The following is a 21,116-nucleotide window of genomic DNA, read 5'->3' as shown; positions in this document are numbered from 1 at the left end:
CAGGAGTGCTTCCTATCTTAGTTGGTTTGTGAGCAGATTAATTTATGTTCTGGAATGAACCCACTGGTAAATGTATTATAAAGATACCATCATAATAACAGTTTGGATTTGTTGCATAATTAGACAGATTCACAGGTAAAAGAAAATAGAGATTCTGAAACAGACCCTCAATACATATAGAAATGTAATACTATGGTAAAGATAGAATTTCAATTCATTAGGGGAACAATGGATTATTCAGTAATACAGTTTTGAGAACTAACTAGCTTTTTGGTAAATCATGAATGTATATCTCTGTTTTGCACCAAAATGAATACCAGATGAATCAATAATATAAATAAAACTGGAATAAAATGATGAGTGTTATGTTATTAGGTGGGGAGTTCACAAGCCCATAAACTATGAAGAAAAGTTTTGGTAAATATGACATTACAATAAAATTTCTTTCTGGGAAAGGAGTCCTCCCTGTAGCCAAAGAGAGAAAAGTTAGGAATCACTAAAACTTCCTTGGTTCTTGGCAGCATCCCAACACTATATCCTCTTATACACTCTTAAAGTAGTGGTTCTCAAACTTGAGCTTGCATCAGAATCACCCAAAGGGCTTTTTAAAATACAGATTGCTGAACTTTGCCTAGAGCTTCTGATTTAGTAGGTATGAGTGAGTGGGGTTCAAGAATTTGCAGTTTGAACAAATTTTCATGTGATGCTGATGCTGCTGGTTTAGAGACCACACTTTGAAAACCACTGCTTTACAGTTTTCCCAAATTCCCCTTTTTGTGTGTGAAATAACTCAGTGCCATTCTTTGTAATCAAAGATCCTAAATTAAACTAAAGTGCTGAGGTAACATGAAGTAAGCAATTTGCTTCCAAGATATATTTACACGAACAAAGACCTGTACAAAGATAATCAATGCAGCATCACATATAATAACAAAGGAACCTAAATGTCCCCAAAATAAAAGGACTATTTAAGTTACTATACATCCACTTATGGAATACTACACAACCATAATAAAGAGCAAGTTATTTATTTGTATATATGTTTATTTGGAACGATCTTCATTTTAGCAATCATTGTTAAATTTAAAAATATGTGCTCCTGTTTATGCTTTTTTTCTTCTTTTTCTTTTGAGACAGAGTCTCGCTGTGTCGCCCAGGCTGGAGTGCAGTGGTGCAATCTTGGCCCACTGCAAGCTCCGCCTCCCGGGTTCACACCATTCTCCTGCCTCAGCCTCCTGAGTAGCTGGAGCTACAGGTGCCCGCCACCCCACCCGGCTAATTTTTTGTATTTTTAGTAGAGACGGGGTTTCACCATGTTAGCCAGGATGGTCTTGATCTCCTGACCTTGTGATCCGCCCGCCTCTGCCTCCCAGCTGTTTATGCTTTTACCAGGTAAATACCTGCATAAAAATGTCTGTATGTTGTATAAGAACATTGGCTACCCTTGGGAAGGTAGGTTTGCTGTTGGGGAAGGGATTTGGGTTGGGAAGGAAAATTGCTTCTTATTGTACGTCTTGTTAAACTTTTAAGTTCTTTTTCGCCATTTGCAAAAAAAAAAAAAAAACCTATAAATTAGCAAAACAATAACTCCACATAGTTTCCATTTTAATTCACAGACAGTAAAAGAATTAAGAAAGTGAGAAAGATAGTGAGATACGAGGCTATGGTCAGAGAGCAGTGCTTCAGAAGAGATCACGGATTTGGAGCATCTCAGCACTAGAACTCAGCCACAGTAACTGGTAGCTGATGTGGAAAGGAAATGAGTATGTTGACAAAAATAAATTTAAAGTGTTTTATGTGATGGTTCTGCTGCTTCATATTTGAGTTGGTTTACGAGCAGATTAATTTATGAACATATTATAAACCATGATGCCCTCAGTCAACTAAACTTCACTGAGTTTCTGTTCTCTCCATTAGCCCGAAATACAATTCTAGACCTCATAAGTCTTTCTAAAATTGGCTGACCAAAAGTGGCAATTAATTTTTCTTTGTAAGTTCTTAGTTCTTTATAGTTTCCTTAATGAGTTTCCCTGAAAAGAAGCCCTGTAAATCTTGTAGGGTCCTATAGCTGTAATTACCATTGTATTTTAACTGGGGTACTCATGAACTAGCAGATTGCGATTCATCAAAATAAGTCTTTCAGAAAGCACCATTTCTTCTACCCAGAAAAACCCAGCTACCACACAGATGACATAGCAATAGTAGATACTATGCATTCCGAATCCTGTGATTCTCCATGTTAATGTGGAGAGGCGATTTTAAAAATACATAACTGAATTAACTATCCTTTGGAAATTAGAGAAAATATAAAAGAATAGAAAAAACACTGGGCTAGTTGTTATAATATTGTATAATCTGTCTTTGGATGAAATGTGACCTCAGGTTGCGCCATGTTCCTTTGTTGATATATCAGTAAAATGCCTGTTCCTGCCCAGCTTCTTTGGGTCAATGATTACAGACTGGGGGCTGAGCAAAGAAATCACCTTTGTATCTCTGAAACATGCAAGAATTTTTCCCCCAAGTGGTTCTAATGCATGTATTCCACAGACCATTTGCTTTTAAAGAGTTCAGGCTTGTTTCAAGATCAAATGTGGTAGTACTTTTTTTTTAAATTTTATTGTTATTATACTTTAAGTTTTAGGGTACATGTGCACAATGTGCAGGTTTGTTACATATGTATACATGTGCCATGTTGGTGTGCTGCACCCATTAACTCGTCATTTAGTATTAGGTATATCTCCTAAAGCTATCCCTCCCCCCTCCCCCCACCCCACAACAGTCCCCAGAGTGTGATGTTCCCCTTCCTGTGTACATGTGTTCTCATTGTTCAGTTCCCATCTATGAGTGAGAATATGGGGTGTTTGGTTTTTTGTCCTTGCGATAGTTTACTGAGAATGATGATTTCCAGTTTCATCCCTGTCCCTACGAAGGACATGAACTCATCATTTTTTATGGCTGCATAGTATTCCATGGTGTATGTGTGCCACATTTTCTTAATCCAGTCTATCATTGTTGGACATTTGGGTTGGTTCCAAGTCTTTGCTATTGTGAATAGTGCCGCAATAAACATACGTGTGCATGTGTCTTTATAGCAGCATGATTTATAATCCTTTGGGTATATACCCAGTAATGGGATGGCTGGGTCAAATGGAATTTCTAGTTCTAGATCCCTGAGGAATCGCCACACCGACTTCCACAATGGTTGAACTAGTTTACAGTCCAAATGTGGTAGTACTTTTAAAAATCAAAAAATTGATATAAATGCATGGTATTTGCCATTATCAGAAATTGCGTGTGATTATTTTAAAACATTGAGTTGTGATCTTCTGTGCATTAAAAAATACATTTTCCTTGGTTATTATATATTTGTCCTTAAAAAAATATTATATACACATAGATATAATTGATTGTAAAGTTGTATGGGCATTAAATTTAGCTGTCAGACAGGGATAAAATGGAGGAGCCAATCCCCTCCTTAACTCTTTTGTTTCCATTTAGCTTTCACTAGTAGAAAAGGTAATTTATGTCATTTTGAGCTGGACTTCTAGATTTCCAACCAAACCCATATTCTCAAAGTAATGAATGTGGTGGAGTTGACTGCCCTTTCCCTTCATGGCTCCTTCATAGTTTCCTGTTTCCCTCCCTGTCTCTCCCTGCCTTCTTGTGAGTTACCTGGGCCCCATGCAGATACATTCAGCTCTTGATTATCTGTGTTAATGGATAGTAACTGAGACATACATAATCCCAGATGGTGGATAATCCAAAAACCGTTAATACTTGGCTTTGAAATGTATTTAGTAATGTTTTAAATTGTTTTTGCCTTTCTAATTATATGTTGCTATTCTAATTATATGTTGCTAATGTTGCCATTAGTTTGCATCCCCTGAGTACATCCTAGTTGCTTGGGGGATTTAGCGTGGAGGGGGCACAGAAAAATGCAGAGTAACTGTGGTAAACCAGATTGATGGGATTATTATTGAGTTAAAATTTTATTTTGAGTAATTTTTTCCATTAATGATTAAGAGTTGTCAGCATGGCATTCAGTCTATGGCCTAGCACAGTACCTGCCACACTGTTGAAGTTTAGGAAATACTTGTTAAATGAAGATTCTCAGTTTTTCATACCAGTCTTATGATCAAATCAGGGCTGGCATGAGCCAGGAAAAGAAGTCAGTGAAGAAAGTTCATCTCCCCCAACCTCAACCTTTCCACCCTCAGGTCAGTGAAGATGAGTATTGCCAAGTCATGGACATTTTCCCAAGATAGTGCCGATTTACAGACTGTTTGACCAGCTGAGCCACACAGAATAGCTCCTCACTAGCAGTGCCTTAACACAGTGAGCCTTCAAGAAGGGAAATATGCTGTTCTTTTAAAATGCAAGAACGATACTTTGAAATGGGCACAAGGAAGCTGCGAATTCCTTTTAGTAGAATATAACTTTCCATGATAATACAAGCATCCGCAATAACATAAACATAAATATAGAGCAGTTCTTAACCTAAGGTCCCTGAATTAGCCTAACTCCTAAAATGGCTTTCACTTGAGTAGATATGATATGGGGATGGGTGTGTGTATTTTTCAGAAGAGAGGGCTCATACGCTTGATTACATTCTCAAAGGGGTCTGCAACTTCTCTCTACTGATGAATGGAATCTCAGTTTCACTGTTTTATACTTCTCATGAAATGTTTGAAAGTGAGAAACAAAACTCCCATGGCCACTGCCTCACAAACTTGTCTCCATGTGGACTTCAGAACGATCAGGGAAAGTAATTTTGTAAATTTCTCTAACTATAGTTCATTCCAAGCTGGGGACAGGCATAGGCTGAGAAGCCAAGGGTGTATGTTGAAAGACTGAACATGCAAATGGGCAATGGCAACACTATATGTGACAACAGAACTCTGACCCAGATAAGATGCCCCAGAAGCCAAACTACAACCTTTCCAGCAAAATCAGTCCAGAACAGTTAGGCCTTGGTCAGTCGCTGCTAACTTCCCTATTTTTGCCCTACTTTCTGCTTCCACCACAGGACCAACCTAGAGAAAGCCAAATATGTTCCCCAAATCAATCATATATGGTACCCCACGTCTAGTTAGCCCTCTGCCATGCCTACAGCCTTCAGTGGGGCATACCTGAAGCCTCCCCCCGCCCGTCCCCCACACCGTAAAGCTTTATCTTTCCCCTGGCTACTTTGGATTATCTTCCAAACACAGGTAATGGTAGCTGAACTCTCTTGCTATTACAAACTCTGAATGAATAACCTTTGCTTATTCTCATTTGGGGGGTCTTCATTTATTTCCACTTTGCATTGAGATTTGAGAGTTTCCAGGTGAACTCCCTTAACCTGAAATCTCTCTTCCACCACTACATCACAGAGCTGATAGTAATATCACTGGAGAAATGTTTCTTGGAGTTTAGCCCTTTATTTCTCCAGGAATAGCATTTTAAATGCATGTTTTATTTTAGGGATATTTAGACCCACATAGTTGATAGTGTTAAACCTTAGACGTAGAATGGTTCACTGGTAACACAGAATAGAGGAACACAAAATAGATGACCATTCAGCTGCGCTCCCAGTATCATGGGGCTTCTACATGGGGAGTGGGCAAATGCCCTTTTGGGCCTGGCAGTTTTGGTATTATCTCACTTCTGTCACCCTCACATTTGTATCCCTACTTTTTATTGGGTCATGTTTTTATAATAGTGTTTTCCTTGAAAATAAAATATATATAAATTAATACAGATAGAATTCTAAGAGAAATTTGGCTATGGATACTTTGTGTCCCAGTCATTAAATGTGTGCCTGATGGCCATTGGCTGAATGGTTAGACATGTAGAGTGAGCCAGTTTGAAGATACACACTCAAGAGTAGGCTGAGAAGATGCGGAGAGAAACCAGAACTTCCTATGTATGGGTCTTATAGTTTGGTTCCCACACGAGCAGCATCAGTATCTCCTGGGAACTAGTTCAAAATACACATTATCTCTGGGCACAGTGGCAGATGCCTGTATTGACCCCACCTTAAAAAATGATCAGGCTCTCATTAAATCTTCTGTATCAGAAAACTTTGGGGATGGGTTCTAGCAATCTGTGTTTTTACCATCCCTCCAGATACCTCTGCTGCATGCAAAAGTTTCAGGCCACTACTGTAATTAGAAGAGCCATCCAATAACTTTTGCTTTTTCTCTCCTCATGGAGTAACATTTTACATGAATGCATGGTAGATTTTAGGAGCTCTGACAGCCTGAAGCCAAAATATCGACAGGAAACAGGAATCTGTCACCTTGTCCAGTGCCTCTCAAACTTGTACATGCAGATCACCTGGAGGTTTTGTTGAAGTGAAGCTCTGACCCAGGAGCACTATACTGGGGGGCTGAAAGATGCATATCTAACAAGCTGCCAGGTGGTGGTACTGGTCCTAGGATTACACTTTGAATAGCAGGGTCCTAGGAGACCATACACTCAAGCTGAGGAACATTGGAGGTATGGGCATGCAGGGAACTAGAGTTCAGGAAATGAAAGGGGAAGGTTCCTGAGAGGTTAGGAGGCTTTTATAAATTCCTGCATAAATCTGATCACTTACTGCTTAGAATGTATGTTCAGGGATCTCCACAGAGAGATAGGGGAAGCCCAGGGAGAAGACTGATAAGCAGCTAGGCATCCTGTGAAAGGTCCAGCCTGTAGGCCCAAGATCAAGATCATCTGTGGTCAAGAAGAGCTAACTTGAGGAAAAAGATTGATATTAATTAAATAAACATTTTTAACCCCCTACTCTATGCCTCATACCAAATAACCCCTAGGATCCTGCTGGAGAAGAGAGAGAAACCAAAACAACATCCGTAACTTAACTATTTAGCTGAGATTTGTTTATCAGTGCGTTTCTCTGGAAAATGTAAGTGGGAGCAGTAACACTAATAGGTGTGAAACCTTCAAATATCAGGCCTGGGCAAAGCAGTGTCCTAAACCCTGAGCTGCAAGACAGGGTCAGGGCACTTTCTGGAACAGGAAAGAAGAGAAAGAAGAGAGGGCCAGTGATAACCCCGGAGGGTACTTAAAGCTGTGGGTTAGAGATAAGAGGTCAAAGGCAATAAGATACCCTGCTGCTGTTTAGGAATGGAATTTTTCTGACTCTCTTAATAGGTACCCATCTGTGGATTTTGGCCATGTCCCTTTGAATAACAGGAATTCTATTTCCAACGTAATTGTTGTTGGTGAGATTGACTGCTTATGGAAGCATAATGACTGTGGTCTTACTTTCATCCCTGAATAGATCCTGATATTTCTCAGCTTAGTGTTACACCTCATGTCAGTTCTTCCAACAGTGTGTATAAATGTATTAGGAGATTTATGCAGAGGAAGTCGAAAAGTGCTATTCACTGTAGTTAAGATCCCATTGGTATTTGAAATGTCTATGATGGTTTCAAAAAATAAAGTCAGACATGTTTTATTTTTTTAAATGAGTTTCAGATTACGGAGGATAGGAGTAATTATTTTTAGCAAATCTCTATATGCAATTTTAGAAAATTTATTTGATCATAATTTCCTTTCCTGAAGGTAAAATGGTAGAGCAAAGCCTATTTACAGACTTTCTAGAAGTAAAAACTGTCTCTGGTATGAATAAAAAACAGTTTTCATGGAGCCTAAAATTCGTTTTCCCAACGTGTCCAACAACTGCACGTTAACTCTTTGTATATTTAATTCATACACAGCAGTGGCTTCTAAGTAATTTTCTCAAGGAGATACCCAGTAGCTTACTTTTGATGGAACCCAAGTAAGTGATAGGGTAGAGAGGTTACTTCTCAGCAGCTTTCATCCCCATAGTCCCCTCCTGTCAGGGCTAAGATTCCAACTGCTCCCTAGTTGGAATGGACAAGAGGATTCTCACAGAGAGTGCATCGTGTTCATACAACTATAGCTGTATTAGACTATTACCATCATGCATTAGCTTTATTGGAATTTCCTGGTAAATTATATATGCTAAAGTTACTCAGTCCTTGAAGTACCATACTTGTAAGCCAAATAGCAGGCATACATCTGAAAGAGGTATGTGTGTATGAGAGAGAGAAGGAGAGAGAAAATGTTCAAGCATCAAAAGCATGTCATATTATGGTCATCTTCTGTACCCAACATGTTCATGATCATCTTAAATCCCTGGAAAAACATAGATATACAAGGATCTACTTTCCATTCAGACTATTTTTGCAAAGGCATGTTACAGTTGTTCTGACAAAACAGCTTCAAACACTTGCCAAGGAGAATAAATTACAGTAGGAATGGGTGGTAATTATTAGGAACTTATTTTTGGAATAAGAAACCTTCCTTAATAAAGGGCTGTGTACTGCCCTCTGAAAGGAAGAGAGAATTTTCCCAAAGTCAAAAATAGACTTTTAACAGTTCATGTACATATCCTTTGGGGGTTAAATTAGGTTAACATGTGTTCCCAAAAAGGCAAATTCAAGCTGGGTTCAATCCATGGATTACAAAGAACACTTAGAAAGCAAATTGGAATTCTTTAGACACAGTAATTCAAAGTTTCTGTTTTTTCTCTTTTTGAAAAAGAGTTTGATGGCTTAAAGGATTCAAATATATCTTCAAGGCATTCAGATACCAAATAGTTTTTAAAGACCTAATTGAAATAGTTGATTAGATAAAAAATTTACCAAACAGGTAAGCATCCTTCAGTAATGTATTCTGCAGAGCCCTTAGAAGACTAGTAAGTGTAAAACTGGAATAAAATTATTTATTTTGGCCTCCCATTTTTTGTGACTGTTTTCTAAAGAAGTTCAAATTAAATATGAGAATGGCTTGTGACCCTAAGTATAATGAATTCAGTGTTTACTTGCAATTTTAAGACTGTCTACACAGAGTTGATATAAAGGAAAACTCAGGGTGTATTAATTTCAAAAGAACTGAATACAAAGAAACCCAATATAAGAGCCTAAAATCAGTCAAAGAAGTACCCAAGCACAGAGATAAACATTTTTACCTTGCTTTTTCTTGAATACTAATACACAACTTGGATTCTGTGTTTATCCCATAACAGGCATAGATTATTTAAAAATTGTTAGCTTTTAAAAATACAAGTGAACAGAAAGCAAAACACAAAATTGATATCATTGAGCAAAAATCTAACATTGCTTTTTTGTGTAAGCATGCTCACCTAGTGGTATCATTTCGTGATCACAGGTTACTCAAGATGCCCTTATAATGTGTGTTAAATTGAATGTAACGTTTCTACGTTACTTGTTCTTGTAAGGTTACTATGCCCATATCTCACTAAAGAGCCATTAATGGAAAAGAATACGGAAATGAAGACCTAGGATTTAATTTTGTTTCTCTGTATATAACCCACTACAGCCAAGTTGGATTAAGGCTATGTTTATTTAAAGCTCAGTCAAATTGGTCCTTTTCATAAACTCATTGGCAAAAATGAATTTCTCTTGGTGTTTCCGTGGGTCAGTCACCAAGCAATAACACCAACAGTAGTTACTGTTCCCCTGGGAATAGCAGCTTAATTACACAGAAATTTAAAATCGAGAATAGTGGTATAAATGCAAACATAGAGACTTGTCCTGTCTTTGGGTGTTTATTATTAAATTTAGTACCTCAGATACTCTTTTCTGTTTCTGCAGATCTTAATTACTAAGTAGATATGGTAAAATATGAATTATTATATTATCACAAGTGATAAAATATATGTGGTTATGAGCATGGCAGTCTGCAGGTGTAACATACATAAAGCAAGATTGATAGTATAAAGCAATTAAACTGAAGTTATCTTTAAGGGGAAAAGGTTTAATGCTACCCTTAAGTGTAACTTAAACTCTCACTAAATATTTTTAACTGCAATAAAAGCATGTTAATTGTAGGAGTGACTTCTTTACAAGACCTCATTTCTTAGGGTAAGTTTTTCTTTCCAAGAATATAAAAGCTTACTGAAATAATTTCTATTACTAACTCATTCTGTAAAGAGCTTTTTCCTTGGCTTTTAAGCTCAATGAAGAAAGCCCAAAATAGCACAGGAAATTTGTGTGTTGTGAATATATATAAGAACTAAATCCAATTGGGATAAAATGATTAAGTTATTGATAAGGTCATCGTTGGTCCCAAAGCATTCCATTAGTTATATGCTTCTTCTTAAATATTTTGAGAATTTGGCCTGGATTTTCTTATAATTATATATAAAATAGAAGAGACGGCATTTTACTTTAATATCCTCTCATGTACAACTTATTAACAGTCTTTATATAAAAGAAACATGCTAGGCATCTAATGATAAATTTTTTTCTTATGTGGTTTTGGTATTTTTTTCTACCTCCTGGATTATTTTTGTGCCACCACTAACAAGATCAATGCCTGTACTTCCAAATTAGCTATCCCATTGCTTCTCAGTAAAGGTGGCTTTACAGTGGGGTTAACAAGAGTTCTGTAAATACATAAAGCACTTAGCAAAGTGTATAGAGGTCTTTACAAAGAACTTTCTGGATCTCTCTCTCTCTCTCTGTTTCTGTCTTTTACATGCACTCACACACACAGGATTTGGTCCTTGCCCTGGAATTATATAGCAGTGTACTTGGCAAGGTACTTAAAGAGTGAAGCAATATGAAAGATTTATAAAGCAGCACATTGTAGATAATACATTAAAAAGTGCTAAAGACATGCATTGTGTGTAGTTTTGGAGATATTAAATATGTGAACAATTTGACACAGAAAATAAAGATGTATTTTATTCAGTGTAGATTACTAGATGTTTGCAGTTAACCTTCCTGACTGCTGCAGTGAAGATTGCTGCATATGTGTATCTTCAGAGTCAAGAAGGGTGCAAGAGAAGTTTGAGGAATAACTGGGCAGTTTGTTGTAGAAATAATGGGTATAGAAATTATTTCTAGGAAATGGGCTACTTTGGTTTTTTTGTTGTTGTGCTTAAAGCACTATCTGTGATGAAATCTAAGATGTGATTGCTGATAAGAAAATGGCAAGGATTTGAGCTGTAAGGAAAGAGGGGGAAGATTGTATTCCTAACTGTAGTTGTGTATTAACCTTCATCTACTTTCCTCATTGATGGAGGAAAGTTGTGTCAGCCGAATAACTGTAACCACATTCTACATGTTTTCATCGTTTAAGAGTGCAAACATTTGTATCGGTTAAAAATCCTTTGAACAAGGGCCCAAAATGGTTTAGTTCATGTACTTTTTTGCTGTGCCCATCTCTGGTTCCCCTGGTACTCTTTGCAAGATCAGTTAATTCTTTGTAATTAAGAATAGCAGCCTATTTAATTTAGAGATGTTTTTGTACTTCTTGGAATAGTAAATATTAGCATTTGTAATTTGAAAGAATTAGAAATGTGTGGAGAAGTATTTTTTTTCCTAAGCCATGTAAACACAGCCATATTAGACAAAAAAAAATTGTGTTAATCACCCCTCATTTTATTAATAGTAGTGGAGTAAAAATTGAAAATTATAAAAGATAAAAATTATAAAAGACATTGTAACATTTTTAAAAATTGAACATTTAAAACATTTTAAATATTTTAAAGTGGAAAATTATAAAAGATGCTGTAACATTTTTAAGAAGATAAACAATACTTCGGCATTTAAATTTTTTATACTGAAAAATTGAGTAATTGATGTAGTTGAAAATATAATCTAATTATTCTATTGATTAATATGAGAATGTGAATAAAAAAACTTGTGTTTAATCACATGGTTCCTAATAAACTATGATACATATTTGTGAGTATACAGTATTTTGTCACATCTTTGATTTCTCCTTAAATATATTGCTCTCTAAGGAAAATATTTGAATTTTTTTTGCCTTGCTTTAACCCCACAAATGGTTATATTTGGTTTCAAATTTACATAAAATTAACATCTCTTAACTAATTTTTAAAGGTTATTCTATACTATTTGATGGTGCTAAAAATTTGGAATTTTTAATTCTTTGCTATTTGCTAGAATCACATAGAATTCTAGCTGAAGTCCTTAGAAAAAGACTTATGTAAGGAAATTGTAGCCATGTCATGTAAAATTAGAGGTAAATGAATAAAAACATCAAACCAAATTTTTTTCTTATAAGAATTAGATATAAATAGTTTAACATTTATTGAAAGTCTAAAGTGTCACTATTATGTACAATTATATATAGATGTTGCTTAGTATTCACATTAGCTGCTTATGTTTACTCTGTGGCATAGATACTCATTTTCTAGATAATAGAAGTAAGTTTGAAAAACACTCCTCGAAAGGTAGCCTTACTGATCAGGTATATCTGTTGCAAAGCTAAAAAAAATAAGTATGACTATATCCTTCATTTAAAATAACTGTCTATGCTTGACCAAAAAAATGGTTATCTACTGGCTTTTTCCCACACTTAATTTTAAAATGAATTATTTTAAATAGAAGTGAGATGTGAGAACGCAGTTTTCTAAGTTTCTATTGGATTTGTCATACAAATATTTGCAGAAGGGCAATTAACAACAACAGAAAATCAGTAGAGATCATGAAATTTTGGAAAATTTTATTTTTAACTTACAACCTTACCTATGGAAGCAACTACCAGACTACTAAACATTCATTTTTTCTTCACCTTTTGGGAATTTGTGATTTCTATTAAATATGAAAGATTTTGACTTTTTTCATATATATGTATAATACGTGTGTATATAATAGTATTTAATGATGATGGCCTAGTTATACAATTATAAAATTCATTTGAAAGCTTAAAATATAGATTTTACTATATTATATTTTTGATATATAATATTTGCTCACTGTGTTCAGTTAATAGTTTTTCACAGTTACTTGAGAAAATGATCACTCTTTATTCTCAAAAGTACTGTCTTCTGAATTTTTGTTTTGTTTCTTTCCAGAAGGTGGGTGCGGCTGCTATTTGGACGAGAGTTCCCCCTGCAGGACCTTCTGGTGGTCTGGGATGCCTTGTTTGCAGACGGCCTCAGCCTGGGTTTAGTAGATTATATCTTCGTAGCCATGTTACTTTACATCCGAGATGCTTGTAAGTATTAATGACCTTTCCTACATTTGACTAGGTACTCCTGATTTTCAAAAATGTTTTGCCTTTTAAATAGACTTTGTGTTTTATTATTTGATTTGCATGTACCTCAATTTTTGTAGTAGGGTAATATACTGAAATTTCAAAGGAATATACTAAACATCCCTTTTGTTGGTTAACTGTGTACACATTGGGAGATGTGAGTCATTTTATCCTGAGAGAATTAGAATATTCTTCAGAACCATTTTTCTAAAGACTTTACTCCTGCTTTAATCTCCTCATTACACACAGTTGTGAAATGCATATATAAAAGCAAGTATTTGAGATATGTTTAGAGCTCCACCTTCTGACAGGTAGGGAATATTCAAGGATGTTTATCAGGAGATTGGAATTATTTTTATAATATCAACACCTTGCTAATTAAAAAAACAAATACATTTAAAGGTATTTTAACTTTCTTCCAGTTATATTTTAGAAAAATACATTTCTCAGTACAGTGCTGAATGGTAGACGTGTTCCCATCTCCTCAGATGTATGTTATGGTGTCTGTAATAACCGGAAAGCCAGTGTCTAGCCCTTTCGAATAGTCTGATAGTTCTTAGCTTGAAGAAAATATCGGTGTGTATTTTAAATTTCAAAATACTTCAAAATTGTTTTCTGTCTCAGAGAAGTAATCAAAAGTTCACACAATAGAACTTGTTAGCCAAAATATAATTAGGAAAAAGTGCACAAAATTATGTGATTGAATTAGGAAATAGGTAGCTAACATAAAGTAAGACTTTGTCAGAAGAACATACACTTTTTAGAATCATTTATAATTGCGACTGTTAAATTGTTATGTTGTTCTCTTTATTTGTTCATTGAATACCAGTTGTGCCAGATGCTCTTGTTATGCCTCTAGTAACACTAATTTTCTTTAAAATTTTAGATTATACTTTTTTAATTTCCCAAAATTACTTAAATAAGTGACAGGAGCACCACATTTTATCCAAAAAATGTAGATTTTGTTCTGTGCCTCGAAGGTCAAATAGTTTAGGTTTTCTCAAAGTGAAAGTTTCTTCCTTCTGAGCCAGATCTAATCATTTAAGAACATGGAAGTCGTAAGAGGAAACATCAGGAAAGTAGAGAAAGATATTTGAGTAGATTTGATGGATACTGGATTTTATGATATTCAATACTAACCTCTAAGTTGTATTTTTTAATATAAATAATAATAAAAGGAATGAGAAACCTCTTCTAGAAAAAAGAATGCTTTGGATAATATTTATGCAAAATTTTCCAAATCAAACAACTGCTGAAAAGTATTATGATTTTCTGTAATTGTAAACAGTTTACAATTTGCTCTTTTTTGACTTTGGCACATTACCACTATATATTTTTAATTTAATCATCCTGTCTCCTATTCTAAGACCTACTTTTATCATTTTATAAAACATGGCAAATTTTTTGGCACCTGAAGTCCTTACACATTTTTCATCTTTTCACTGATGACTTTATAAAATGTAGAAAAATACAGAAGTAATGAAGTGATTTATTTATTTCAATATTTAACCCAACTTATTTTAATTTTGTTATTTAAGTCTGTAACAGTGGATGAGATCTCCTAAAAATAGAATGAATATTTGTCAGGTATTTACAGATCACTGCTCCTGTCCTCAAGAAGTTTACCAACTAGTAGGGAAGACTGACATAAATGATTTCAAATGAACATATTTGGTACTATAGTTGGGATGTGGACAGGTAGTGTGGAAACTTAAGGAGAGGCACCTAGCTCCCCTCTGGGCTGCTGTGAGTCAATAGAGAAAATTGTGCAGGTGTTGGCAAGCCAAATAAGAGGATCTGCATACAAGACAGAAGGAACAGCATGAACAAAGGCCTGGAAGTGAAAAGCAGCTTATTAGGGATGTATATATTAATGTGTTTCTATAAGCTGTTTGGTATTATTAGAGTACAAAGGGAGAGAGACTAGCCGCAGGTTATGAGACTAAAGAAAGAAACAGGAGGGTCATGATGACAGTCTTCCTATGGTAAGTGATAGGGAGCTATTGAAATGTCCAAAGCAGAAATGTGATCACTTGTAGATCACTTTAGCAGCAATGGGGAAGATGAAATCGAAGGAGAGAAGAGCAAGGACATCAGTTAACAGTTGTGATGGTAGTTCAGGAGAAAAACAGTGGATCAGAGAACTATTCAGAGGTAAAGGTAGCAAGATTTAGTGATTAAATATGATAGGAGAGGGAGAATGGGAAATCTAGAAGAATCTCCAGCTTGGAGGTATGAGTGACTGGGAAATATTTATAACTTGATAGAAAATACAAGGATTAAGAAGTTTTAGGAATGTTAATAATTAACTGGGCTTGACTTTGCTGAGTTTTGAGATATTTATAAGAAATTGTAACCTAAAGATTTGAAAAATAAAGTTAAATGTCAGTGTCAAGGCTACAGATTTAATTTTGCAAATGATTGACAGGTGTTTGTTAAAACCATCACCACAGATGCCACCTGCAAAGAATAGGGTGACTATATATCAAAGTTTGTTTGGGATAGTCTTGGTTTACACCTGCTATCCCAGAATAGTAATTATTTGTCCTTTTTCACTCTTGAAGACATCACATTAGGATCATAAAAATTATATGGTCCTATTACCTAAGGTGGGTACATATGGAAAGAGAACATGGGCAAAGGTGAAACTGGGTTTAACATAAGCATTTCAGAGGCACCAGAGGAGAAGAAGCCAAGGAAGAGCTTAGTTTGTGTTGTAACCCCAGAGAACTGTCTGAGCCAAGCAGAGAAAAGAAGGTCAAGAGTGCCCAGGAATAGTAACACAAGGCGAGAAAAGTCCACTCACTTTGGGAACTGTGGAGGGACAGTCATTGGATACCTTTGCCAGGGTGGATTCAATGGACTGGTTGAGCAGAAGCTGGATTATGGTGGGTTGAAGAGTGAATAGACAGTTAAGAAGTACAGTAGTCTTTTCTTCAGCTTTTTGTTGTTGGTTTTCTTTGTTTGTTTGTTTTTAATATATGCATTACTTTTTCAACTGAAAAGATAACTAAATAAAAACAAAGAATATGGAGATAGCAGATATAGAGTGATCTTTGAGTTAAGGAAGAAGAACGATGTAGCTAGAGGACAGTGCAGGGGCAAGGAAGATTGGATGGCTGTCGTTAGACATTGGAGGCAGGGCAGAACTGATAGAGAGGTTTACTTCTCAAACCAGTCTGAGTTCCTACTTCAAGAATCAGCACTAGTTTTCCCCACCCTGTTCCATGAATTAGATCTATGAAAAAGCCAAGCATGGTGGCTCGAAACTGTAATCCCAGCATTTTGGGAAGGCAAGGCAGGAGAATTGCTTGAGCCTAGGAGTTTGAGACCAGTCTGAGACACGTGGTGAAACCCCATCTCTACAAAAAATAAAATTTGGCCGGGTATAGTGGCTTGTGCCTGTAGTCCTAGCTACTCACGAGGCTGAGGTGGGAGAATCATTTTAGTCCAGGAGGTCAAGGCTGCAGTGAGCCGTGATTGCGCCTCTGCACTCCAGAGTGTGGGTGACAGAGCAAGACCCTGTCTAAACAAAAAAAAGATCTATGAAAAGAGAAAATATCTTCTTTGTTTTGAAGCTTTCACTTGTTTATTGTCTGTTCTTCACACCCCACCCCTAATCCCTGTTCCCCAGTGAGAGACAGGATTTTGTCTGTCTTGGTTTCCCTCCCATATACCAGCATCTAGAATTGGGCCCAGGGCATAGTAAACCTCCAGAAAAATATTTTTTGAGTAAAATGATTGAGGAAATAAGGGCCCAGAGGCAATAGAAAAGAACTGGGTCTGGAGTCCTGTGGAAGACTGGCTGTGGAACAGGAATGAAAAGCTGGTGCTGATGCAGGAAGAAAGCACTAGGCTGCTTTCACAAGTAATCCAGTTCATAAGTGGAGAAGACAGAGAATGGAGGAATTCCATATCTGATAAAGGAGGAAACAAGGTTATCCACTGTGAGTGAGGCAGAGTAGGGTTAGTGGTTTGTGGGAAATGACTTGGAGATGTGATAAAGATAGCTAATTAAGAGCCAAGAAAAAACCATGTGTAGCTGTTGAAGATCCTACAGAGACAAACACTGGGAAGTGGTACCTGGCCTCAAAAAAAAAAAAAAAAAAAAAAAAAAAAGAGGTAGATTGTGATCCAGGCTTCCAAATGAATTAGGCAGGACTAAAGGGAGATAGGAGGGTAGAGGGTGTTGAGTGTTTTTTAAAATAGTGGTTTAAGATGTATAAAGAGGGAAGCACAGCCAGGAAAAGATTAGGGAAAATTGAATATATCAAAGAATTGGGTGAGGTAGAGCATGAGAAAGCTAAATGCATACAAAGTTGTGGTCCGACATAAAGCAGTTCTAGATCTGCTTGGTATGGTTGGAGTACGTGAAGGGGAATTTAAGTCTCTTGAAGACCAAGGGATTGTGAGGAAACTGGGGTTTTACTTTAGTTCTCCATGGACACTTCACCAAGGATCCTAATAGGAAAAGGCGTAGAAGGAAATGTAATGAGCCTGGCACCATAGCCTCAAATAAATGAAAAAGAGTGACCAAGAAAACAGCTTTTATTGAACCAGTCAATTATTCAGAGTCAACCATTCAACCAGTGTTTACCAGTATATGGTACATAGATGATAGTGATGCAGGGACATGATTGATGCATAGAGGCATGGCATTAACTTCAAAGGAAGAAGTTTTATGAAATGATAGGAAGCAATAGTTTGGAAGAATCAAAGAGCAAGGTGGTCCTCCACCTCACATCTGGAGGTTGCAGAGGCAGCAGTGACTCTGAGAGGGTGAGGCTTAGAGGGAAAGACATTGTTCCCTAGAGAAAAGGATTGAGATAGAGGGGAGCAGCAGAAAGAAAAGGGATAGAGAACCAGATTGGACAGAGTTGCATGGGAGGTCAGGACTAATTAGATGAGCTTATATTTTTGGCCATGGTCAAGAACTGAGAGGAAGGTGGGCAATTTGCCAGCCCCAGCTTTCCAAATAAATCACTGGTGTCAAGTTTTTATTTCATGCCAGTGGATTCTGACTCATAATGTCTTGCTAGGGCTTCCAAAGTGGGGATGTTCAGTTACACTTAGTAGTTTAAATCTCATTCATTCAATAAATCTTAAGTGAACACCACTGTACCAGGCTCTGAGCATTACATATGTTCTTTTGGAGCTACTTTTGTAGGATGCTCAGAGGATGTTTCATCTGAGGGAAACTAAAAGAGCCTTCCTTCCGTGATGACATGCCTTCCTTGGGGTGCATGTCTTCTAGGGATTCAGTGGATGGGGATCAAAGGGTCTATGATCATCCTGATAGTGTGCAAAATATTGTGTAGGTATGCCTTTCTCTGGGTCAAATGTCTATAGTTTTCATCAGTTTCTCAAAGGAACACATCCCCCAAAAATAGATAAGATTCACTGCATCTAGTCCAAAATTCTGATTTTGTAGGTACAGATAATAAGGCCCATTATGGGCTGAATTGTATCCCCCCCCTCAACAAAAGATATATTGAAGTCCTAACTTCTAGTACCTGAGAACGTGACCTAATTTGGGAATAGATTGTTGCAAATGTAATTAGTTAAGATGAGGTCATACTAATCCAATATGACTGGTGTCCTCATAAGAAGAAGGAAATTTGGCAAGAGACATGCACAGAGGGAAGACAATGTGAAGGTATATACAGGGAGAAGAAAGCCGTGTGAAGACAGCCAGAAGCAGAGGTTGGAGTGATATTATCTACAAGGCAAGGAATGACAAGGATTTTCAGCCATTACCAGAAGCTAGGAGAGAAATAGGAAACAAATTTTTCCTCTTCAGAAGAAACATGCTGCTAACACCAGAAGCAGGAGAGGCAAGGAGGATTCTCCCCTACAAGTTTCAGAGGGAACATGGTCCTACCAAAACTTTGATTTTGGACTTCTAGCTTTCAGAATTGTGAAACAGTAAATTTCTGTTATTTTAAGCCACCCAGTGTTTGTTACTTTGCTGAATTATATGGATTAAAATTATATACAGAAAGAAACATTGAGCAATAAAGAAATAATGTGAGAGTAATCGTAAACCATTACTCCTGTAATAGTTTATGAATGGTGATACCCCCACCACACTATTTTTTAACTGACTTATTTCATATTGTAAGTCACTCTTGTGATTCCTTGCTTCCCCTGGCTCCACCTACCTAAATCTTACTCCTATTTTCAGGCCTAGGGCAAGGTAGCCTTTTTCCCAAATCTTTTCCTATTATTCTAGCTCTCATTGATTTCACACTTTGCAATCCTATAAGATCATCATCAATACCACTAACTAAGTGCTACATTAGTCATACTCTATTTTACATTTTTCCGTAGTTATTGTGGGTGTTGGTCCTATCTCCTCAACTAGATTGTGAGCTTCCTTGGTACCAGAACCACATTACAATTCTTTCATATCTCTAAAAGCATCTGAAGCTCTTCATGTGCTCAGTTAATATAGTACTTGGGGTAATGCCAGGCCAGAACGTACCATAGAGACCTTGGAGGGGTGGATTTGTGTGCTGTGATTACTAAGAAGACAAGTGCTAGTCTCATTCTTAGAACAACACAAATAAATAATGATTCTTTGAAAATATACTTTCAGCATAGCTTCTTCAAAGAAAGCATGGCCTACTTTTAAAACTAGCTGAAATTTTCACATCTATTTTTTGTTCATTTTATTTTGTTTTTGACTAGTATCAAAAAACATGGTCTCTATTTTAAACATAACATACCTTTTATTTGTCTTGTAAATTGCATTAATAGCTAAAACACTATAAAAAATTGTCTCTATTTTAAACATAACATACCTTTTATTTGTCTTGTAAATTGCATTAATAGCTAAAACACTATAAATTTATTTATAGATTTTCCTTTTTTTTTTTTTTTCTGAGACGGAGTTTTACTCTTGTTACACAGACTGAGTGCAGTGGTGCCATCTGGCTCACTGCAATTCCACCTCCCGGGTTCAAGTGATTCTCCTGCCTCAGCCTCCCAAGTAGCTGGATTACAGGAGCATGCCACCACGCCCAGCTAATTTTTGTATGTTTAGTAGAGACGGGGTTTCACCATGTTGGCTAGGCTTGTCTCGAACTCCTGACCTCAGGTCATCTGCCCACCTCAGCCTCCCGAAGTGCTGGGATTACAGGCATGAGCCACCACGCCGGGCCTAGATTTTCTTAAAAAGAAAGTATTTCTCAAATATTTATTGCCTTTTTAAATGTACTTTCTCTTTGAACACCATAAATGGAAAAGTTTCCTTCTTGGCACTTCTACCCACTTCCTGCCTTGTTTTTTCAGCCAGCGTAAGCATGTTACAATACTCTACTATAATTTTCCTCTGTTTTTGATAGGGATTTCTTTAGCCTTTCCTGGCCTGGCATGGCATGGCAGTTGTGGCCTCTTTGTGATTTCAAATATTACTCCTTTTGATTTCATTTTAGATCTCTACTTATTCTTCAGCCACTGTCTGTCTGCCAGTATTTCCCTCTGTCCTAACCCAGAATTTCTATTTCTCTATTTTCTAGTTAACAGCATGTTCAATGTCATATTGATGTCAAAATGCATTTATTTCAACTACAAATTGTATTTATTTGTCTTTTCTGGAAAAGCATTGCTTAACAGTGATTACAAATTTTAAATATGGTAATGTCACAAAGTTTTATCAAAGCACAAATTGATAGTCTTATTTTTGAAGGAATGTTTAAGCACTTCCTGACTACTAGGTCTCTTCCTTCTGAGACATAAAATGGTGTCAGTTGTTTTTATGATTATATCAGATATTTATATTAATGTACCCTGTTACAAACACCGTTTATACTACTTTATATCTTAGTTTAACAGTCTCCTCATGTTTCACTAACAAAGGCTGATATACCATAGTAGCACATTGTCTGTTATTTTGGGTTTCTTTTTTAATGTTTCCTTTTTTAAAAAAATTGAATTATTGAATTGGATTTTAAGAAAGGTTCTAGGTTCAGCACAAAACTAAGTGGAAAATACAGTTTGCATATACCCACTCCCCCAGATACCCATATTCTCCCCCACTATCACCATCCCACATCAGAATGATACTT

General features: G+C 36.5%; 1 protein-coding gene across 65 annotated transcripts in view; it reads left to right on the top strand.

The window, feature by feature from the left end:
• The window catches only part of TBC1D5 (TBC1 domain family member 5), a 585,470-nt gene that overhangs the window by 421,632 nt on the left and 142,722 nt on the right, over positions 1-21,116 (top strand). For all 65 annotated transcript variants that reach the window (XM_047449296.1, XM_011534283.4, XM_047449314.1 and 62 more), the window contains one exon: positions 12,866-13,008. In XM_047449296.1, the coding sequence (XP_047305252.1) occupies positions 12,866-13,008 (143 nt within the window). The remainder of the gene's footprint in view (positions 1-12,865; positions 13,009-21,116) is intronic.

This window comes from Homo sapiens, chromosome 3, assembly GCF_000001405.40.
Source record: "Homo sapiens chromosome 3, GRCh38.p14 Primary Assembly".
NCBI classification, from domain to species: domain Eukaryota; kingdom Metazoa; phylum Chordata; class Mammalia; order Primates; family Hominidae; genus Homo; species Homo sapiens.
This window is presented reverse-complemented; position numbering and strand designations above follow the sequence as displayed.